The 24,191-nt window shown below is 46.1% G+C and overlaps 1 protein-coding gene and 1 long non-coding RNA gene across 3 annotated transcripts in view; one reads left to right on the forward strand and one right to left on the reverse strand.

The window, feature by feature from the left end:
- Positions 1–18,889: 18,889 nt before the first annotated feature.
- LOC124900250 (uncharacterized) lies at positions 18,890–21,283 on the reverse strand. The gene is made up of 3 exons (XR_001745887.2): positions 21,204–21,283; positions 19,718–19,892; positions 18,890–18,967 (listed from the first exon to the last, which is right to left on the reverse strand). It is a non-coding gene; the product is annotated as an uncharacterized LOC124900250 (long non-coding RNA).
- CHRNB3 (cholinergic receptor nicotinic beta 3 subunit) overlaps positions 19,758–24,191 on the forward strand; it is a 40,042-nt gene continuing 35,608 nt past the window's right edge. For both annotated transcript variants that reach the window (NM_001347717.2, NM_000749.5), the window contains exon 1: positions 19,758–19,990. Coding sequence is in view for 1 of the 2 variants with exons in the window: in NM_000749.5 (NP_000740.1) it covers positions 19,939–19,990 (52 nt within the window). In the remaining variant the exon portion in view is untranslated. The remainder of the gene's footprint in view (positions 19,991–24,191) is intronic.

Consider the following 24,191-nt stretch of genomic DNA (forward strand, 5'->3'; position numbering starts at 1 on the left):
GGAAGACTGTGTAGATTTTGTTAGGGATTGATATCCATGTGTAAGTCTCTAGTTTCTAGACTGTGTCTGCCTTTCCTTATTCAAATATTTCAGTTCAGGCCAGGCACTGTGGTTCACGCCTGTAATCCCAGCACTTTGGGAGGCTGAGGCGGGCAGATCACCTGAGGTCAGGAGTTCGAGACCAGTCTGGCCAACATAGTAAAACCCTGTCTCTACTAAAAATACAAAAATTAGCCAGGCATGGTGGCAGGCGCCTCTAATCCCAGCCACTTGGGAGGCTGAGGCAGGAGAATCACTTGAACTCGGGAGGCCGAGGTTGCAATGAGCCGAGATTGTGCCATTGCATTCCAGCCTGGGCAACAAGGGCAAAACTCTGTCTCAAAAAAAAAAAAAAAAAAAAAAATCAGTTCAGAACTGTTGGCCAGGACCCATCACCCCCGGAAACTGGAGTAAGGTAACAAATTGGCTGAAAGATTCTTTCCTTGATTTTCAATGAAATTTCTGTGGTTCTAGTCATGGCCAAAGAGAAGTAGCAGGTGGGAACATACTTGGTTATTCCTACTTCATGTTTTCTAAGAAAAATCCCTTTACTCAACCACTACACGTGAAGTTTTATACTTGCCAACTTAGTATTGCTTCAGGTAAGAACTCACAAAAATGAACTCAAACTAAAGCTTAGCACAAGCTGAAACAACAGAGAAAGGAAGTGAGTTCCTTACTTTCTGATGTTTGACACTTTCCCCAGAGAATTGAAAATCATCTCTAATAGGTCTGATGAGCTGTTTCAAAGAACACACCTCCCTGCCACTTATAAAACCTGAAAGCTACTTTCCTTAATACAGAGAGTTAACTGAGAGCCAGAGGGAAGAGCAGGGCAAAAAGTCCTGCCGGGTCATCAGCAACCCTCTCAGAATTTGTCTGTTTCCTTCCAGGATCAAATCCAGCATGCAGGTGACTACAGTCCCATCCCCCGGCGTTATCTCACAGTGGTACAGAAGGTCTGTGAGCTGCTGGAGACCCCATGAGCTGGGACAAAGGAGCCGAGGGGCAGCAAAGGCTGCTTCCCCAGCCCCACCCTCACTTCCACTCCAGTTCCCCCAGGCAGAAAAGTGAAGCCACCGGAGCCTGCTTTGTAATTCCCTACTCACTAAAGAAGCAAAAGGAAATGAAAAGTCCACAATTATCTTTCTGTCTCCCTCTATCAGCCCATAAACTTGGGTAAGGGGCACATTGTTCTTGGAATGGACTCAGAACAGAGTAGTTATAATATCAGAATGACTTTCTTTTAGGTAACCCTTAGCAATAAAGAGATACCCACACACCTTAAAAAGGTGACTAAAATCCTAAGTAGATGTATAGCAGGCTTAGATTTGCCTCATTCTCATTCAACAAAAGTTTTAAGAGATTTTCAATCCAGGTGCAGTGGTTTATGCCGGTAATCCCAGCACTTTGGGAGGCTGAGGCAGGAGGATCACTTGAGCTCAGGAGTTTGAGACCAGCCTGGCCAACAGAGTGAGACCCCCATCTCTATAAAAAAATGTAAAAATTAGCAGGTGTTGTGGTGCACACTTGTAGTCTCACCTACTAAGGAGACTGAGGTGGGAGGACTGCTTGAACCTGGGATGTCAAGGCTGTGGCGTGCTCAGCCCTGTCTGAAATAAAATAATAAAATTCTATGATTTACAGAACTGTGCTAAGGGGAGGCTCATGCACCTCACTAACTAGAAGCTTAATTTGTGCAGCTTATAGGCCCCTGCCAGGTTAGGGGTGTAATGACCAAACAAAAGAGGGCTGAAGTTTATGCTAGCAGCAAATGAACACTTAAAACACAAAAACAAAGAAAAAACTTTTATGTCAGAAAAAAACTTTAAGTCATAATTGCATCCAAACAACGTAATTGCACTCAAACAACAGCTATGTGGGGTTTTGTCTTTGTTTTTGTTTTTTGAGACAGAATCTCCCTCTGTCACTCTGGCTGGAGTGCCGTGGTGCAATCTTGGCTCACTGCCAACTCTGCCTCCTGGGTTCAAGCGATTTTCCTGCCTCAGCCTCCTGAGTAGCTGGGATTACAGGCATGCACACCATGCCAGGCTAATTTTTTGTATTTTCAGTAGAGATGGGGTTTCACCATGTTGACTAGGCCGGTCTTGAACTCTTGACCTCAAGTGATCCACCTGCCTCGGCCTCCCAAAGTGCTGGGATTACAGGTGTGAACTACCGTGCCCAGCCTCAAACAACAGCTATTTGGATAAGACAAAGTATTCCAATAGTCCTCAGCAGTCGCAAAAACAAAAACAAAAACCCAACACTTTGGATTCCCATATTATTATGCCTTATTGCTCCTTGACATCATTTGGATATTTGTCCCCACCCAGTTTTCATGCTGTGGGGCCTGCTGGGAGGTGATTGGATCATGGGGGTGGATTTCTCATGAATGGTTTAGCACCTTCCCCTTGGTGCTGTCCTTGCAATAGTGAGTGAGTTCCTGTGAGATCTGGTTGTTTAAAAGCGTGTGGCCCCGGCCGGGCGCGGTGGCTCACGCCTGTAATCCCAGCACTCTGGGAGGCTGAGGCAGGCAGATCACGAGGTCAGGAGTTCAAGACCAGCCTGGCTAACATTGTGAAACCCTGTCTCTACTAAAAATACAAAAATTAGCCGGGCATGGTGGCGCGAGCCTGTAATCCCAGTTACTTAGGAGGCTGAGGTAGACAACTGCTTGAATCCAAGAGGCAGAGGTTGCAGTGAGCCGAGATCATGCTGCTGCACTCCAGCCTGGGCAACAGAGTGAGACTCCGTCTCAAAAAAAATAAAAAGTGCGTGGCCTCTCCCCACTCGCTCTCTTGCCCCCCCTCTGCCATGTGGGATACCAGCTCCTGCTTCACCTCCTTCTTGGAGTAAAAGCCCCCTGAGGCCTTATAGGAAGCTGAACAGATGCTGGAGCCATGCTTGTACAACCCGCAGAACCCTGAGCAAATTAAACCTCTTTTCTCTATAAATCACCCAGTCTCGGGTATTTCTTTATAGCATCTCAACAGTGGCTTTACACATTCCTTCAACCAAGGTACATTTACTCTGTCATTTTGGAAAATGATGGGTGAGATTTCAGAAGCACCCAAGAACTCACCTAGAGGTCTACCCTTAAAACCTGATTGAGAATGTAGTTCATTCTGGTTCTTGGCTCAAGAAAGATCCTGGTAGTTTTAAGAAGGAAACAGCTTGCCACATGGGTAAGATGATTGTTCTATATGATGGAGGATTGGATAAGAGCAAACGAGGAAGGCACAGATATGTCAGCTGAATAAAAGAAGAAAAAGTGAAAAAGGAGAGTGCAGAAAAGCTGGAGGGTGAAAGAAATCTCCTCAAAGCATAGGTCAGGTTTCTGTTTACAAGTGCATTTTTCTCCTCTCCCCCACTCAGCTCCCATTAAAAGAGTTTTATTTATTTATTTATTATTTATTTATTTTTTTGAGATGGAGTTTCACTCTGTCGCCCAGGCTGCAGTGCAATGGGAATGGCACGATCTCGACTCACTGCAAGCTCTGCCTCCCAGGTTCAAGCGATTCTCCTGTCTCAGTCTCCTAAGTAGCTAGGATTACAGGCGCCTGCCACCACACCTGGCTAATTTTTGTATTTTTAGTAGAGACAGGGTTTCACCATGTTGGTCAGGCTGGTCTGGAACTCGACCTCAGGTGATCTGCCCGCCTCGGCCTCCCAAAGTGCTGGGATTACAGGCATGAGCCACCGCACCTGGCCAAGAGAGTTTTAAAAACTGCATTTGCACAAATTTCCTTAATCATACAGCTTAAAAGCCCCATGGCCTAGGAAGGCTACTGTCAAAATAATAATAATAATAATAATAATAATGTGTTGGTGAGGATGTGGAGAAACTGGAACTCTTGTGGGCCTCTGGTGGATATGTGAAATGGTGCGGCCGCTGTGGAAAACATTATGGTGGTTCCTGAAAACATTAAGAATAGAATTACTATGGGATATGGTCCAGCCGTTCCCCTTCTGAATATAGAAAATAATCAAAAGAGGTTTTATATGTCCATCGTCAGTCTGTTTTGTATTGCTATAAGGGAATGCTGAGACTGGGTAATTTATGAAAAAAAATGTATTTGGCTCACAGTTCTGTGGGCTGTACAGGAAGCACAGTGCCCCATCTGCTTCTGGGGCAGCTTCAGGAAGCTTCCAATCAGGGAGGAAAGGGAAGAAGGGGCAGCGTCTCTCATGGTGACAGAGGGAGCTAGGGAGAAGGAGGAGGTGCCAGCGCTTTTAAATTACCAGATTTTGTCTGAATTCACAGAGCGTGAACTCACTCATTACTGTGAGGACAGCACCAAGCCATTCACAAGGGACCTGCCTCCGTGTCCCAAATACCTCCCACCAAGCCCCACCTTCAACACTGGAGGTCACTTTTCAACATGAGATTTGGAGGGGACAGAACATCCAAACCAAGTCACCCATTGCAGCATTATTCAATAGCCAAAAGATGGAAGCAACCCACATGTCCATCTACAGATAAATGGATAAACAAAATGTGGCCTGCACATTCAACGGAATAGTATTCAGGTGGCTCACGCCTATAATCCAGCACTTTGGGAGGCCGAGGTGGGTAGATCATGAGGTCAGGAGTTCAAGACCAGCCTGGCCAAGATGGTGAAACCTCGTCTCTACTAAAAATACAAAAAATTAGCTGGACATGGTGGTGGGCACCTGTAATCCCAGCTACTCAGGAGGCTGAGGCAGAGAACTGCTTGAACCTGGGAGGTGGAGGTTGCAGTGAGCCGAGATCACACCCTGCACTCCAGCCTGGGTAACAGAGCAAGACTCCATCTAAAAAAAAAAAAAAAAAAGGAAGGAGGTTCTGGCACAGGCTGGCAAGTGCCTGTAATCCCAGCTACTTGGGAGGCTGAGGCTGGGCGCGGTGGCCCATGCCTGTAATCCCAGCACTCTGGGAGGCCGAGGCGGGCAAATCACCTGAGGTTAGGAGTTCGAGACCAGTCTGGCCAATATGGTGAAACCCTGTCTCTACTAAAAATACAAAAATTAGCCAGACGTGGTGGCAGGTGCCTGTAGTCCCAGCTACTCAGAAGGCTGAGGCAGGAGAATCGCTTGAACCCAGGAAGCAGAGGTTGCAGTGAGCTGAGATCACGCCACTGCACTCCAGCCTAGGGTATGGAGCAGGACTGTATCTCCAAAAAAATAAAAAATGAAAAAAAAATTAAAAACCTGGATGAACCTTAAGGACATTTTGCTAAGTGAAATAAGCCAGTCACAAAAAGAAAAGCAATGTATGGTTCTACTTAGATGAGGTCCCTAGAGTACTCAAATTCACAGAAACAGAAAGTAGAAGGTCTTTGCCAGGGGAAGAGAGAAGGGGAAGGTGGGGAATTATTGATTCATGGGTATAGAGTTTCAGTTTTGAAAGATGAAGAGGTCTGGAGATGGATGGCAGTGAAGGTTGAATAACAATGTGAATATATTTAATACCACAGAACTATACGCTTATAAATGGTTAAGATGGGAAATTTCGTTCTGTTTATTTTACCACAATTGAAAAGGAAGCCCCACAGCCCACAAGACAGGTTCCTCTCCTGGAGTTCGATGTCCCAGCTGCCCTATCTCCATGCATTGCCCTGGAATGTGATGGGTAACACATGAACCTTGCTGGAAACACAAATTATCAGTCCCACCCAGACCTCCTGAATCAGAAACTCGACCCTTGGGCCAGGCGCGGTGGGTCTCACCTGTAATCCCAGCACTTTGAGAGGCCGAGGCGGGTGGATCACCTGAGGTCAGGAGTTTGAGACAAGCCTGGCCAACATGGTGAAACCCTGTCTCTCCTAAAAACACAAAAAATTAGCCAGGCATGGTGACGGGTGCCTGTGATCCCAGCTACTCAAGAGGCTGAGGCAGGAGAATAGCTTAAACCCAGGAAGCAGAGGTTGCAGTGAGCCAAGATGACACCATTGCACTCCAGCCTGGGCAATAAGAGAAACTCCATCAAAAAAAAAAAGAAGGAAGGAAGGAAGAAAGGAAGGAAGGAAGAAAGAAAGAAAAATAAAGAAAAAGAAAGAAAGAGGGAGGGAGGGAGGGAAGGAAGGAAGGAAGGAAGGAAGAGAGAGAGAGAAAGAAATTCAGGCCCCAGAAATTAGGATGTTAACATACCCACCAGGCGATTCTGATGTCCCTCAAGACTGAGAAGCACAGCACTTGGGTGATAGAAGTGGAACAGTTAGAAGGGGTATGTTTTGAGAGCCAGGGTATGTTTTGAAGACGGAGAAAATGTGTCTTGGAAGTGGATTGGAAGTGGGGTAGACAATGAAAGAAATCAAGAGATGAGGTTGAACAGATACTTGCTGAATGAATGAATGAATGAATGTCTTTTAAAGCTGTTCTGCTCTTAATTTTTCTTTGTTTTCCTCTTGAGTCAGGAAAAAAAAAAAAAAGCATGCCTTCTCAAGCATCAGGTTGGAGAATGGGAAACAGGCCAGGATGGTTGACGTATAATCTTTAGAAATCTGGGAACAAAGATCAAAAGAGACAAAGAAGGCCATTACATAATGGTAAAGGGATCAATTCAACAAGAAGATATAATTATCCTAAATATATATGCACCCAATACAGGAGCACCCAGATTCATAAAGCAAGTCCTTAAAAACCTACAAAGAGACTTAGACTCCCACACAGTAATAATGTGAGATTTTAACACCACACTGTCAACATTAGACAGATCAATGAGACAGAAGGTTAACAAGGATATCCAGGACTTGAACTCAGCTCTGCACCAAGTGGATCTAATAGACATCTACAGAGCTCTCCACCTCAAATCAACAGAATATACATTCTTCTCAGCACCACATCGTACTTATTCCAGAATTGACCACATAGTTGGAAGTAAAGCACTCCCCAGTAAATGTAAAAGAACAAAAATTATAACAAACTGTCTATCAGACCACAGTGCAATCAAACTAGAACTCAGGATTAAGAAACTCACTCAAAACCGCACAACTATATGGAAAGTGAACAACCTGCTCCTGAATGACTACTGGGTAAATAACTAAATGAAGGCAGAAACAAAGATGTTCTTTGAAACCAATGAGAACAAAGACACAATGTACCAGAATCTCTGGGACATATTTAAAGCAGTGTGTAGGGGGAAATTTATAGCACTAAATGCCCACAAGAAAAAGCAGGAAGGATCTAAAATCGACACCCTAACATCACAATTAAAAGAACTAGAGAAGTGGCTGGGCGCGGTGGCTCACGCCTGTAATCCCAGCACTTTAGGAGGCTGAGGTGGGCAGATCACGAGATCAAGAGTTCGAGACCAACCTGGCCAACATGGTGAAACCCCGTCTCTACTAAAAATACAAAAATTAACCAGGCATGCTGGCAAGTGCCTGTAATCCCAGCTACTCGGGAGGCTGAGGCAGGAGAATCGCTTGAACCTGGGAGGTGGAGGTTGCAGTGAGCCGAGATCATGCCATTGCACTTCAGCCTGGGCAAAGAAGTGAGACTCTGTCTCAAAAAAAAAAAAAAAAAAAAAAAAAGGACTAGAGAAGCAAGAGCAAACAAATTCAAAGCTAGCAGAAGGCAAAAAATAACTAAGATCAGAGCAGCACTGAAGCAGATAGAGACAAAAAAAACCCTTCAAAAAATCAAGGAATCCAGGAGCTGGTTTTTTGAAAAGATCAACAAAATTGATAGACCGCTAGCAAGACTAATAAAGAAGAAAAGAGAGAAGAATCAAATAGACACAATGAAAAATGATAAAGGGGATATCACCACCGATCCCACAGAGATACAAACTACCATCAGAGAATACTATAAACACCTCTACGCAAATAAACTAGAAAACCTAGAAGAAATGGATAAATTCCTGGACACATACACCCTCCCAAGACTAAACCAGGAAGAAGTTGAATCTCTGAATAGACCAATAACAGGCTCTGAAATTCAGGCAATAATTAATAGCCTATCAACCAAAAAAACTCCAGGACCAGACGGATTCACAGCCAAATGATACAAGAGGTACAAAGAGGAGCTGGTATCATTCCTTCTGAAAATATTCCAATTAATAGAAAAAGAGAGAATCCTCCCTAACTCATTTTATGAGGCCAGTATCATCCTGATACCAAAGCCTGGCAGAGACACAATAAAAAAAGAGAATTTTAGACCAACATCCCTGATAAACATTGATGTGAAAATCCTCAATAAAATACTGGCAAACCGAATCCAGCAGGACATCAAAAAGCTTATCCACCACAATTAAGTAGCCTTCATCTCTGGGATGCAAGGCTGGTTCAACATATGCAAATCGATAAACGTAATCCATTATATAAACAGAACCAATGACAAAAACCACATGAATATCTCAATAGATAAAGAAAAGGCCTTTGACAAAATTCAACAGCACTTCTCGCTAAAAACTCTCAATAAACTAGGTATTGATGGAACGTATCTCAAAATAATAAGAGCTATTAGGCTGGGCATGGTGGCTCATGCCTGTAATCCCAGCACTTTGGGAGGCCGAGGCGGGCAGATCACAAGGTCAGGAGATCGAGACCATCCTGGCTAACACGGTGAAACTCCGTCTCTACTAAAAATGCAAAAATTAGCCAGGTGTGGTGGCGCATGCCTGTAATCCCAGCTACTCAGGAGGCTGAGGCAGGAGAATCACTTGAACTCAGGAGGCGGAGGTTGCAGTGAGCCAAGATTGCGTCATTGCACTCCAGCTTGGACAACAAGAGAGAAACTCTGTCTCAAATAATAATAGTAATAATAATAATAATAATGAGCTATTTAAGACAAACCCACAGCCAATATCATACTGAATTGGGCAAAAACTGGAAGCGTTCCCTTTAAAAACTGGCACAAGACAGGGATGCCCTCTCTCACCACTCCTATTCAACATAGTGTTGGAAGTTCTGGCTAGGGCAATCAGGCAAGAGAAAGAAATAAAGGGTATGCAATTAGGAAAAGAGGAAGTCAAATTGTCCCTGTTTGCAGATGACATGATTGTATATTTAGAAAACCCCATCGTCTCAGCCCAAAATCTCCTTAAGCTGACAAGCAACTTCAGCAAAGTCTCAGGATACAAAATCAATGCGCAAAAATCACAAGCATTCCTATACACCAATAACAGACAAATAGCCAAATCATAAGTGAACTCCCATTCACAATTGCTACAAAGAGAATAAAATACGTAGGAATCCAAATTAAAAGGGATGTGAAGGACCTCTTCAAGGAGAACTACAAACCGCTGCTCAACGAAATAAAGGAGGACACAAACAAACATTCCATGCTCATGGATAGGAAGAATCAATATTGTGAAAATGGCCATACTGCCCAAGGTAATTTATAGATTCAATGCCATTCCCATCAAGCTGCCAATTTCTTCACAGAATTGGAAGAAACTACTTTAAAGTTCACATGGAACCAAAAAAGAGCCTGCATTGCCAAGTCAATCCTAAGCCAAAAGAACAAAGCTGGAGGCGACACACTACCTGACTTCAAACTATACTACAAGGCTACAGTAATCAAAACAGCATGGTACTGGTACCAAAACAGAGAGATAGACCAATGGAACAGAACAGAGGCCTCAGAAATAACACCACACATCTACAACCATCTGATCTTTGATAAACCTGACAAAAACAAGAAATGGGGAAAGGATTCCCTATTTAATAAATGGTGCTGGGAAAACTGGCTAGCCATATGTAGAAAGCTGAAATTGTATCCCTTCCTTACACCTTATACAAAAATTAATTCAAGATGGATTACAGACTTAAATGTTAGACCTAAAACCATAAAAACCCTAGAAGAAAACCTAGGCAATACCATTCGGGACATAGGCATGGGCAAGGACTTCATGACTGAAACACCAAAAGCAATGGCAACAAAAGCCAAAATTGACAAACGGGATCTAATTAAACTAAAGCTTCTGCACAGCAAAAGAAACTACCATCAGAGTGAACAGGCAACCTACAGAATGGGAGAAAATTTTTGCAATCTACCCATCTGACAAAGGGCAAATATCCAGAATCTACAAAGAACTTAAACAAATTTACAAGAAAAAAACAAACAACCCCATCAAAAAATGGGCAAAAGATATGAACAGACACTTCTCGAAAGACATTTATGCAGCCAACATACACATTAAAAAATGCTCATCACCATTGGTCATCAGAGAAATGCAAATCAAAACCACAATGAGATGCCATCTCACACCAGTTAGAATGGTGATCATTAAAAAGTCAGGAAACAACAGATGCTGGAGAGGATGTTCAGAAATGGGAATGCTTGTACACTGTTGGTGGGAGTGTAAACTAGTTCAACCATTGTGGAAAACAGTGTGGCGATTCCTCAAGGATCCAGAACTAGAAATACCATTTGATCCAGCGATCCCATTACTGGGTATATACCCAAAGGATTATAAATCATGCTGCTATAAAGACACATGCACATGTATGTTTATTGTGGCACTATTCACAATAGCAAAAGCTTGGAACCAACCCAAATGTCCATCAATGATAGACTGGATTAAGAAAATGCGGCACATATGCACCATGGAATACTATGAGTTCATGTCCTTTGCCAGGGACATGGATGAAGCTGGAAACCATCATTCTGAGCAAACTATCACAAGGACAGAAAACCAAACACCACATGTTCTCACTCATGGGTGGGAATTGAAAAATGAGAACACTTGGACACAGGGTAGAGAACATCACACATTGGGGCCTGTCGCGGGGTGGGGGGCAGGGGGAGGGATAGCATTAGGAGAAATACCTAACGTAAATGATGAGTTACTGGGTGCAGCAAACCAACATGGCACATGTATACCTATGTAACAAACCTGCACGTTGTGCCCATGTACGGGTACCTAGAAGTTAAAGTATAATAGAAAATAATAATAAAGAAAAAAAATAAAAAATAATTTAAAAAAAAAGACATCTGGGCAAGGTAGGTTTCACACAAATGTGTACTTCCAAGACTAGCAGTGTTGAGCAGGTGGGCAGTGGAATCATACATTTGCTTCCTGGTGTCCTGATGGTCACCCACAAAGCCCACACACATGAACACACACCCCAGAGTGTTCTAAGGATGCCTCTTCTTTCTTACATACTGATGTCAGAGGGGGAATGATGTGGAATGTGGCCAGGGACTGAGGGGATTACTGGGACAAGGGACTTTCTATTTCAAAACTGGGGAAGTCCTAGGCAAACCAGGAAGCTGGGCCGCCCTACCTGTAACACGAACTTGTGGAATTTTCAAACCTAAAGAGAGCTTCGAGCTCATCTATTCTGTGGGTTCACCACTCTGGCTATGGATGAGAATTACCTGAGGAGCTTAAAAAAACAAAAAGGCCAGGCACAGTGGCTCACGCCTGTAATCCCAGCACTTTGGGATGCTGAGGCAGGCAGATCAGGAGATCAGGAGATCAGGAGATCGAGACCATCCTGGCTAACATCGTGAAACCCTGTCTCTACTAAAAATACAAAAAAAATTAGCCGGGCGTGGTGGCACCTGTAGTCCCAGCAACTCGGGAGGCTGAGGCAGGAGAATGGCGTGAACCTGGGAGGCAGAGGTTGCAGTGAGCCGAGATCACGCCACTGCACTCCAGCCTGGGCAACAGAGCAAGACTCCATCTCAAAAAAAAAAAAAAAAAAAAAGAAGTTCCTGGGTCTCTCATCATGAGAGGTGACAGCGTGCTGGCAGTCCTCACAGCCCTGGCTCACTCTGGGCGCCTCCTCTGCCTGGGCTCCCACTTTGGCGGCACTTGAGGAGCCCTTCAGCCTGCTGCTGCACTGTGGGAGCCCATTTCTGTGCTGGTCAAGGCCGGAGCCGGCTCCCTCAGCTTGCCGGGAGGTTTGGAGGGAGAAGCGCGGGCGGGAACCGGGGCTGCCTGCAGTGCTTGTGGGCCAGCGCGAGTTCCGGATGGGCGTGGGCTCGGAGGACCCCGCACTGGGAGCGGCCGGCTGGCCCCACTGGCCCCGGGCAGTGAGGGGCTTAGCACCTGGGCCAGCAGCTGCTGTGCTCAATTTCTCGCCGGGCCTTAGCTGCCTTCCCGCTGGGCAGGGCTCGGGAGGTGCAGCCCACCATACCTGAGCCTCCCCTGCCTCCCCCCACCCAGCCTCCCCCCCACCCCGCCTCCCCCCCACCCCGCCTCCCCCCCACCCCGCCTCCGTGGGCTCCTGTGCAGCCTGAGCCTCCTCGACCAGCGCTGCCCCCTGCTCCACAGCACCCAGTCCCATAGACCACCCAAGGGCTGAAGTGTGCAGGCGCCCGGTGCGGGACTGGCAGGCAGCTCCACCTGCAGCCCTGGTGTGGCATCCACCGGGTGAAGCCAGCTGGGCTCCTGAGTCTGGTGGGGATGTGGAGAACCTTTCTGTCTAGCTCAGGGATTGCAAATACACCAATCGGCACTCTGTATCTAGCTCAAGGTTTGTAAACACAGCAGTCAGCTCCCTGTGTCTAGCTCAGGGTTTGTGAATGCACCAATCGACACTCTGTATCTAGCTACTCTGGTGGGGACTTGGAGAACCTTTGTGTCCACACTCTGTATCTAGCTACTCTGGTGGGGAGGTGGAGAACCTCTGTGTCTAGCTCAGGGATTGTAAACGCACCAATCAGCACCCTGCCAAAACAGACCCCTGGGCTCTACCAATCAGCAGGACGTGGGTGGGGCCAGATAAGAGAATAAAAGCAGGCTGCCCCAACCAGCTGCGGTAACCCGCTGAGGTCTCCTTCCACACTGTGGAAGCTTTATTCTTTCCCTCTTTGCAATAAACCTTGCTGCTGCTCACTCTTTGGATCCACACTGCCTTTATGAGCTGTAACACTCACTGTGAAGGTCTGTAGCTTCACTCCTGAAGCCAGCGAGACCACGAACCCACCGGGAGTGAACGAACAACTCCAGACGCCCCACCTTAAGAGTTGTAACACTCACCGTGAAGGTCCTCAGCTTCACTCCTGAGCCAGTGAGACCACAAACCCACCAGAAGGAAGAAACTCCAGACGCGCCACTTTAAGAGCTGTAACACTCACCGCGAGGGTCTGCGGCTTCGGTCTTGAAGTCAGTGAGAGCAAGAACCCACCAATTCCGGACACAATCAGACCAATGAAATCAGTATGTCCAGGTGCAAGGCCCAGACATTAGTACTTTCTAGAAGCTTCCCAAGAGCAGTGAGCAGCCAGGATGAAGAACAGCGGATCTAATCCAGCTTCTCTCCACGATAGGCGAGGAGTCTGATGCCACAAAAGGTTGTCTAAGGTCACACAATTATTAAGAGGCAAGCTCAGAGTTCCGGATTCTTAGGCCAGTGTCCTTTGCATAGGACACAGTCTTTTTATAGATGTTAATTACTGACTCATTACCTGCAGTCGACCCCAGTGCTGTTAATCAGGGCAAGGCACCCACACACCACCAGTCTGGCCTTCAATAAAGCAGCGCTTTGAGCTTCCAGCAGGGTTTGTTGGGGGGTGGGGGGATCCCAGGCCTGTCCTTCTCTGCTCCCTCCTGATCTTCCTCCCCACACTGTTCTTAGTTCAGCAGTCCCGAGGCTGATCTTTCAAATTCAGCCCTTACTCCTTGCTCAGGGATCAGATTCAGCCCCTACTCCTTGCCCAGGGATTGCCTTTGCTCTGATTTACAGACGTGGCCCCAGCAGTTTGATGGCAGCCCTCTGTCCCCTCAGCTCTGGGCGTCCATCTGCTGTGGACACTGGGGTGGCTGACCGGGGCCAGAAGCCCAATACACCCGCAGCCTGTTTGGCCCATCCGCACCCAGAGTTGCTGGGACAAAGCTTCTTCAAACCCAAAGCCTATCGTGGTGGAAAAGCAGACTTTAGTGCCTGGCCAGTCTGAGCAGGACACTTCCTGGTCCTCCGACCAGGCTGCAGCCCTGAGGAACGGTGGCGGCGGCGAGGACAAAGTGTGGACGCTCCTGTCAGTCAGACAAGATGAGGGGAAGCCTCAAAAAAGAAACAACGACTGAAGGATGAAAGGAGAGGCGAGGCGCCCCTCTTCAACCAGGGGTCCCGTGCTGCACTCCGCGCCCCTCCCAGTGCCCCCCATATCTCCGGGATCTTCCTGGTCACGGGCACCCTCCTGGCACATGGTGCTTCAGTGTGATCGGGCCCTGCGGCCACTAAGCCTTTCCTCCTGGTCTTTGCGGAGGTTTCACTTGGAAAAGGCGGCCAGCGCGGTCAGGGTCTGGGACCCTGGCTGCTCTCAGAGAGCCCAGGCCCTGTTCCAGACCACCGGATCAGAATTGCAGTGGAAAACAACCAGGAATTCGTCTTTTTCTCTTTCTTTCCTTCCTTCCCTCCCTCCTTTCTTTCTTTCCTTTCTTCTTTCTTGAGACGTACTCTCGCTCTGTCGCCAGTGGTGCGATCTCGGCTCACCTGCAACCTCCGCCTCCCGGGTTCAAGCGATTCTCCTGCCTCGGCCTCCCGAGTAGCTGGGATTACAGGCGCCCACCACCATGCCCGGCTAATTTTCGTATTTTTAGTAGAGACGGGGTTTCACCATGTCGGCCAGGCTGGTCTCGAACTCCTGACCTCAGGTAATCTGCCTGCCTCGGCCTCCCAAAGTGCTGCGATTACAGGTGTGAGCCACCGCGCCCAGCCGAATTCGTGTTTCTTGAAAGCTCGCCAGATGGTTGGGAAGCACAGGGAGGTTTGGGAAACGCTGCTCATGTGATCCATTTAGACGGTTTCTTTCTGTTCGAACGCTTCTTCCCGCGCACACCTGGGTTCCCCCGGGCTGCGGCCCAGCGATTGATTCCAGCTGGGTCCCGGGCACCAACTCTCCCCTTTGAGGAACGCGCGGGCCTTCTCGGCTACAGCTCTTCTGGGTTTGTGCTGCCCTCCTGGCAAGCGGTACGTGGAAGGGCAGAGCTGTTAAACCAACAGCCCATTGCCTTCCAGTGCTTAGTTTGTGATTTACTCGGGCTGTTACTACCTTTTTATTTAAAATTTGAGGAGCAAATACCGTCTGAAGCACACACCCTTTAAAGGTTAAAGGCCTGCAGTGTGAGGAGTGAGCCACCAGAGGGCACCCGAGCCCCACAACTCACCCTGGTCTAAGGCCCCCGCAAGGCCCAGCCCAGGGAGGCCGTGCAGCGCGTCCAGGAGCCTGCGGCTTCTGAGGTCTGATCCCAGGAAAGAATTGGACACTTATTTAAAAGCCGGGTACGGTAGCTCACGCCTGTAATCCCAGCACTTTGGGAGGGCGAGGTGGAAGGATCTCTTGAGCTCAGGAGTTCAAGACCAGCCTGGGCAACATGGCAAGGCCCTGTCTCTGCCTAAAAAATAAAAGCCATGGTTTTCCCATCTCTACCAATAGTGAGAGGTGTGGCTATTGAAAAAATGTCATTTGTGTGGATAGAGCCCAGGAAGAAAAAGGGTTGGCTGATTGGATTAAAGTGTTATCCTGCCCAGTGGTGGATGTAATAAGATTTAAACCAAAACAATTACCTCTAGAGTGAAATTTTAGGCATCAAGAGATGAGAGGTTATTTAGGAGGGCAGTGAGAATTTCAAATTCAGATACTTTGGATCCTGAATCCAGACCTTCTGAATCCTGTGAACGCTGACAGCATCCCTGCTCCCTCCCACAAAACCTCCCTACTGGTAGTGAGAAGAGGATCGGAGTATTTGAAATGCTGGCTGGCTTAGAGCCAGGCAGGCTACAGCAGGAATGACTGAGGTTAGACATAAGGAAGGCCCCGAGGAAGGGAGCACTGGTAAACCCTGATGGGTGACTGAGGAAGGGGGAGCTCATGGACCTCCAGAAGGCAGGGAGTGTGTTCTCTCCATGATAAACTGGCACACTCTGGTTAGTGGGATTGCTTATTAAGTATCATGGTACAGAGACGGTGAGAGCACTGGGCTGTGGGAGGTGTGGTCCCAGCCCCAATCCCGCCCCCACCTCACTGTGACTTCACCTCCCCAGGTGTTGGTGAGGAGCAGGTAACTCACAAGTAAGCTTTTTATAGAGGAAAGACAGTTCCCTTAGACTTGTTTTTTTTTGTTTTTTGTTTTTGTTTTGTTTTGAGACAGAGTTTCGCTCTTGTCCCCCAGGCTGGAGTGCAAATGGCGCTATCTTGGCTCACTGCAACCTCCACCTCCCGGGTTCAAGCGATTCTCCTGCCTTAGCTTCCCAAGTAGCGTAGCTGGGATTACAGGCACGGGTTGCCACGCCCAGCTAAGTTTTGTATTTGTAATAGAGATAGGGTTTCACCATGTCGGCCAGGCTGGTCTCAAACTCCTGACCTCCTGTGATCTGCCTGCCTCGGCCTCCCAAAGTGCTGGGATTATAGGCGTGAGCCACCGTGCACAGCCAGGCTTCTTTTTTTCTCATCTAAACTCCTTGCTTTTTAATCTTTTCTCATAAGTCTTCCTTTCTAGATCCCGGGTCTCTCGATGTCCCCACAATAAACATATTTAACTTCCTAACTGTGTTGTCCTAAACAAAACAGTGCCCTAAGACGGCTCCAGACAGGCTGGGGTGCTGCTAGGAGTGCCATTCGTAGGGTGACCAAGTGACTGTCAGTATCATGTAGTTGTATTCTTTGCAGTTAAGGCAATTAATTAAATAAATACCTCAATGTGATTTTGTTTTTCTAACTGTAAAAAGATATAGAAATAAAATAATAAAGCAAAAAGACATTTTGTCCCAATTCACATAAATGTGGCCAAGAACTAAGCCAATCTATCTTACCAGCATGGGCCCAGCACCCCACACTTCTGAGGTCGCTGGGTATTGTGATTCTGTCCTGCATGGTAGATAAGCGGGTACGGTTTCACACTGGAAGGGACCTTGGCAATTGGGCTGGCTCTCTTATTTTTGTTATTTGCAAATCCACTAAGTGTATCTTCCATGCCTTCAAGATGTTAAATGTGTTAGATCCACGCAGCCCACCACTAAAGACCCTCTTCCAGGCTTGACATCCGTTTGTTAATCCACACCCTTGTTTACAGTTGCTTAATTAGTTCTGAGTCCCCTTACATGTACTACAGAACCAACCACAATGCTCCTTTTTGTCCCCTTAGAGGTCATGAAATAATTTCTCAAAGTTTCTCCTTTTCTCATCATTAATACCAAAATGTCCTTTTCTTTAAAAAATCTTTTGTCTTTCCTGCCTTAATAACCTTTTTAATGGTGTTGTTTTATATTCTAAAAAGTAAAAGTTATAAAAAGCTCAGTTGAAGGGTGTTGACTCATACATCAACTGGGTGACCACAATGCTATCATGCATGTTAGTGTGTGTGCTTGTGTGTGTGCACTGGAAGGAAGTAAAGCATTGATGGTGATTGGATTAGAATCATGGACTGTAAGTGGTCTTGAAATGTAGTATTAGGATTACACTGCTTTCATGATTACTAAATGCCAATCAGAACTTACATCTTCAATTGAAAGCACACCTGGCCGGGCTCGCACAGTGGCTCACACCTGTAATCCCAGCTCTTTGGGAGGATGAGGCAGTTGGATCACTGGAGGTTGGGAGTTCGAGACTAGCCTGGCCAATATGGTGAAACCCTGTTTCTACTAAAAATATAAAAATTACCTGCACGTGCTGGTGGACACCTGTAATCCCAGCTACTCAGGAGGCTGAGGCAGGAGAATTGCTTGAACCTGGGAGGTGAAGGTTGTAGTGAGGCGAGATTGCGCCACTGCACTCCAGCCTGGGCAACAGAGCAAGACAGCCTCTTTTCCTGTGTCTATTTGATGTCCGCTTTTCCCCCCAAAGTCTAAACTCAATGGAGAGATGATTTGAGGTTTCTACAGTGGGATGGTGAAGAGTTGAGTATCTTTGCAGGGAGAAAGGTGGCTGTAAAGTGAGACAGAAAAGAACTTCCCAAGGCATAGGAAGGGGCTGGCAGGTCCTTCTGGCAGCAGGACCGTGCCCTGCTCAGGGTTGCACTCAAGGGGTGCAGTCCTCAGCAGGCCAGGGTTGTGTGGGACCCAGGGAGGCAGGGTCCTGTTACCAAGGCCTCCGGTATTGGCAGAATCCTGGGTCTTGGCAGAATCCTTGGCATCGGAGAAGGCAAAGAGCAACCGAGCTGTTGGCTCCATGGGACCGTGTGGGTGGGGCATGGACCCCAGCTGTGGTCAAGGCAGCCTGGAGGATACAAGACTGTGCCATATTTTGGGGACCACAAAAGGCTTCCAGATTCAGTTGCTCCCCTAGGGAGAAGGCTGCAGGGCCTGCAATGACTGAGATTGGATTTCCAGCCAGTTCCATGGAAGGCTAGCTTCATTTTATTCAATTTCTTGAAAATAAAGGTGAAACTTCCTGCACACTTGGATTGGCGGTGGCTGATTTACTCCTGAGACCATTACAAATTCTCAGCAGGCTGGGAGCACAGTTGAGATGGATAGGAGGAAATCAGTGCATGGCTCCTTCCTTCCTCCTTGCATTCCCACAACGTTCTCAAGCATTTGCAGGTGTCAGGCCCTGGACACAGAGAGATACAGAGGAGACTCCAGAGGGCTGGAGACCAAGCCCTCCTGCAGGAGCTGGTGGTCTAGGAAGGGAGGCCAGGCAGGGCAGCGACATTGTGATGTGAGGGGCTCTGAGACAGGGGCCCTGAGGAACAGACAGGGCTCAAGAGCTCAGGGTCCCGGGGTCCTGGGCTAGACCTCTTTTCCACACATGATGCCTCCTTACCGAGCACCCTCTGGGTGTCTCAAACTCACTAATGGCACACAGAGGAGGGTTAAATTAAGAAATTTAAAAATTGGACTAAATCACTGCCGCTAAGACAGAATTCCTCCATGCCCTGGAGTGGGTTCCTCCAGCACTCAGTTCCCAACCAGATAGGTCTTGGCTCCCACCTGGCCCTCTTGTCTGTCTAGCCCTGACTTTGTACTTGCCATTCATTTGATGTATCATGCATTTATCAAGGGCCCTCTGGGTGTGCACAGCACTGAACTAGATGAAATCTGATCAACTGTGAAGAAGAAAGGATGGTGTTATTAGTGTCCAAGTCTCATACATAAAACACCACTAACCTCCCACCCTACTGTCCCCTGCAGTGACCAGAAGGTGGGCCTGGTGGGGTCAAGGGAGCCACAGAGAATGTGCTGATATTAACACATGTGGGAACCAGCAGAATAGGGAGGCTCCAGGACATACTCATGACTTCAGGTCCAACTGGAAAAGAGAATAGAGAGGCTGGGCGCAGTGGTTCATGCCTGTAATCCCACCACTTTGGGAGGCCAAGGCGGGCGGATCTCCTGAGGTCAGGAGTTCAAGACCAACCTGGCCAACATGGTGAAACCCTGTCTCTACAAAAATACAAAAATTAGCTGGGCATGATGGCAGGTGCCTATAATCCCAGCTACTCAGGAGGCTGAGGTGGGAGAATGGCTTGAACCTGGGAGACGGAGGTTGCAGTGAGCCGAGATTGCACCATTGCACTCCAGCCTGGGTGACAGAGTGAGACTCCATATCAAAAAAAAAAAAAAAAGAATAAAAAGAAAAAGAAAAGAGAATAGAGAAATAACGGGGATGAGAAACTTTTCACTATGGATGTGGTAAAGTGTGGTTCTTCTGTACGCAGATCTCCAACTGTAAGAAAAATAGCACAGAACATTCAGAAGTTGTCTAGTTTCATCCTTTCTCCAGTGCCCCGCATCTCTTGCAAGGGAGTAAATTAATAAGTCAGGAGTTAGGACCCAGAGATATGTTTTAGACTTACACGATCTGACAGCTGACTGCAAATCAATGAAGTGCACTTTGAGAAGCGGCACACTCGGCGAGAGGGGTTGAGATTGTTTTATTCCACTCCAGGTGTTGCTGTCCTCTTGGGTTCCACTTCGGATTTTGAACCCCTGTATTTTCTTTTCAAAACCCCCTTTTCCAGTGGAAATGCTCTGTTGTTAAAAAGGAAGAAACTGTCTTTCTGAAACTGACATCACGATGCTCCCAGATTTTATGCTGGTTCTCATCGTCCTTGGCATCCCTTCCTCAGGTAAGCACAAGTCACAGTAAATTAAAACTACAGTTGCAGAATTATTTAAGCAGAGGAGGCAAAACTATGGTGTTGATAATGTTAGAATTACAATATGTAATGCACAAGATACATTTAGGATAACCTTTAAAATGTGGCCCAAATGAGTAATTCTGTGAGATGTGGGGTTTTTTTTGCTGAAGAAATCATATCTATGATTTTCATAATGTTTATGTTTTTGTCATTTGCTGCGTTTCTCCTTCTGAATCACTATGAGCTTGGTAAGAAAATACAAAAGCAGGAAAAACATTATTGAATGCACTGAGCATTACTCAGAGAATTGTTCAAATATTTGGCACAGAAATTTACTATATCAACATTTTTCTATCATATTTACCAATAATTTCTATATCTGCATGTAGATATTTAATTTTGTCCAATATGCCCTGTAGGCCTATATATTTTAATAAATCTGTGTATGTAGGTAGATTTAGCATGTTTATATATCACAATTAAACACCAATGTATCAAAACTCTATGTGTTTTATGTGACTATTATCAACTGAAAATAGAGGAATTTTTGATAAGGATAAAGGACAAATAAAAGGAAAAAGTGAAAGATAGAGACAGAGATGCAGAGAAAGAACAAAAAGAGAAAAAGAAAGGGGAATAAAGTACTGAAAGGCTTTGGGGATTGGTCATTTGCACCTGCCAATTTCCTGGGTTTGGGAATCTTTTCACTTTTTGTGTAACTTGAGAACAGAAAGTTTTCCCCCATTGAATCAGAAACCATCTGAAACCGCAGCCAGATGGTGAGAAAAGTGTCAGTTCACTAGCAATTTGTATTAATTTCTCAGTAGTATTTTTGCCACGTTTGATTATTGTAATTTTCAAATGGAGAACTGGAGACACTAAGGGAGATTTGCCCAAATCCAGAAATAAATTCTACATTTCAAGTTCCCAAGGCTGCGAGGCACCTGAACATTATCCTGTTGTCAAAAACGCCTTTTCTCAGACCAAGGACTCAAAGTCAAACAGGAATTTCTAAATGCAGAAAGCCTCAAACTCACTTTCAAATATCATGAAATTTGGACTTTTCAAAGTCTTGAATGCAGTTTGCCAATCACAAAAATGATAAGAAAATTCTGTGTGTTTGAGCTTACCATTAATGTACGTGTGTCTGATGTTTTTCTGTCTTTATTATTCTATTTATTATAAGACAATTGATTCTTACCACTCTTTTCCCAAGGAATGATTTCTCTCAATGGTTAGCGAGGGTGTTTAGCATAAACTCTCTTGGTTCAGCTAAGTCTCGTCCTCTGTGTACAATCATGATTACATAAGAAAACTGGAATTGCTTGGCCTCTGGCATTGGTCTCCATTGTGTGGGCTGGAAGAGTTTGGGAAGATTGTGTAATCTTTCACAGATCTATAATAAATCTAATAACCTGTGATAAATCTTACATCTGTATTTCTAGATCCATCAGCATCTGCTCATATTTTTAAATCTGTCCCATATTTCCTTACATTTTTTAACTTTACTATTCATTGTAAACAAAATAGTTTCTTTTTGTTATGCAAAACTACTTTTTTCAAATTACAAGAGGCAACCCCTTCATTTTTATATTTCTGGCTTTGGTAAAAAGGAGCCTTGGGTGTGGCCATGGGTTGTCTCTCATATTGCTATTTCATATTTTGTGTGTGCTATCTGCTCTCAAAAAGCAGGAGGTGTATCTTATTTATCTTCCCATCTCTCTTACAACATGATGATATGATAAGACACAATGTGTTTATTCATTCAATAAATACTTATTGAGCATCTACTGTATCCTAGGAATGGTTCCAGTGTCTAGGAATGCAAGAGGAAATAAAAACAAAGCCATTTTCTAATAAGCTCTCAGCTGGGCATCATGGCTCACACCTGTAATCCCAACACTTTGGGAGGCCAAGGTAGGCAGATCACCTGAGGTCAGGAGTTTGAGGCCAGCCTGACCAACATGGTGAAACTCCGTTTCTACTAAAAATACAAAAAATTAGCCAGGCGTGGTGGCACACGCCTGTAATCCCAGCTGCTCGGGAGACTGAGGCAGAAGAATCGAATCGCTTGAACCTGGGAGGCAGAGGTTGCAGAAAGCCGAGATCACACCACTGCACTCCAGCTTGGGCAACAAGAGCGAAACTCGGTCTCAAAAAAAGAAGAAAAAGGTCTCATGCTATCAAGAATCCATTGAATATGCATTCTTTGATTTCACCATGAGGGCTAGCTCCATGGGTGACGGAAGAGGCTGCCATATTTGTGGTATGCTTTTTTTTTTTTTTTTTTTGACGAGGCGGCAATAGTGGAAGGAAGAAACAAAATATACCAAAAGGCATCAAAGCAAAAAAATCCACATTTCACAATCGTCTTTGCTGAGATTTGGAATTCTTCAATAATTTCTTTTCTTTTTTTTTTTTGAGATGGAGTCTCGCTCTGTCGCCCAGGCTGGAGTACAGTGGCGCGATCTCTGCTCACTGCAAGCTCCGCCTCCCGGGTTCACGCCATTCTCCTACCTCAGCCTCCAGAGGAGCTGGGACTACAGGTGCCCACCACCACGCCCAGCTAATATTTTTTGTATTTTTAGTAGAGATGCGGTTTCACCGTGTTAGCCAGGATGGTCTCAATCTCCTGACCTCGTGATCCACCCACCTCGGCCTCCCAAAGTGCTGGGATTACAGGTGTGAGCCACTGCGCCCGGCCTTGTTTTTTGTTTTTTGTGGTTTTTTTGAGACGGAATCTCGCTCTGTCACCCAGGCTGGAGTGCAGTGGCAATCTTGGCTCACTGCAACCTTTGCCTCCTGGATTGAAGGGATTCTCCTGCCTCAGCCTCCCGAGTAGCTGAGATTACGGGTGCCCACCATCACACCTAATTCTTTTTTATTTTTAGTAGAGATGAGGTTTCACCATGTTGGCCAGGCTGGTCTCAAACTCCTGACCTTAGGAGATCCACCCGCTCCGGCCTCCCAAAGTGCTGGGATTACAGGCATGAGCCACCATGCCCGGCCCAATTATTTCTTTTCTGTCCTGGCTGAGGATAAAAAAATGGCATTATCAGTAAAACCATAAATAATCCTGAAGATTTTTATGAAATCCTGTTCATAAAATTATGGACAGATGTTGATGGATCTAGAAATACAGATCTGAGATTTATAACAGGTTATTGGATTTAGTATAGATCTGTGAGAGAGAAAAGTTTTATCTGTTAAGTCTTATCAGTTGTTTGTACCTCAGTGTGAGTTTGTCAAATTTTGCTAAAAGTGGATGTTGATATGGAGGTGGGAAGAGAGCAGGGGCGTCTGAGAGACTGAGGAAACAGAATCAAGAATAAAGAGACTGGTCGGGTGTGGGGCTTACGTCTGTAATCCAGCACTTTGGGAGGCTGAGGCATGCAGATCATGAAGTCAGGAGGTGGAGACCATCCTGGCCAACATGGTGAAACCCCGTCTCTACTAAAAACACAAAAATTAGCTGGGCGTGGTGGCACATGCCTGTAATCCCAGCTACTTGGGAGGCTGAGGCAGGAGAATTGCTTGAACCAGGGAGTCGGAGGTTGCAGTGAGCCGAGATCACGCCACTGCACTCCAGCCTGGCGACAGAGCGAGACTCTGTCTCAAAAAAAAAAAAAAAAAAAGAATAAAGAGACCAAGGATGCTGCAATGGTTCACGTCTGTAATCCAACATTTTGGGAGGCCAAAGCAGGAGGATTACTTGAGCCCAGGAGCTCAAGACCAGCCTGGACAACATAGTGAGAGACATACGTCTCTACAAAAAATTTAAAAATTAGCCAGGCATGGTGGCATGCTCCTGTAGTCGCAGCTACTCGGGAGGCTGAGGCAGGACGATCACATGAGCCCAGGAGGTTGAGGCTGCAGTGACCCATGATCATGCCACTGCACCCCAGCTGGCAACAGAGCAAGGCCCTGTCTCTATTAAAAAATAAAAAGAATAAAGAGACCAGAAGGTCAGGTCTTCAATTCCAAAGGAAAATTTCTTTGTCTTAAAGTGTTACTAGGGACCTTATCAATATCTTTCATGATTTCATTCAGTGAGGCTGAGAGAGCCCCAACCCCCTCACAGAGGTGTCTCTCCAATCCCCTGGTAGCTGTGTTACTTTTACCTGACTGCTCTGTTGAGATAAACAGCAGCTTGAGTGAAGGGCTGCTCCCCAGTCATATGCACATCTTA

Source organism: Homo sapiens, chromosome 8 (assembly GCF_000001405.40).
Source record: "Homo sapiens chromosome 8, GRCh38.p14 Primary Assembly".
Taxonomy (NCBI): Eukaryota; Metazoa; Chordata; class Mammalia; order Primates; family Hominidae; genus Homo; species Homo sapiens.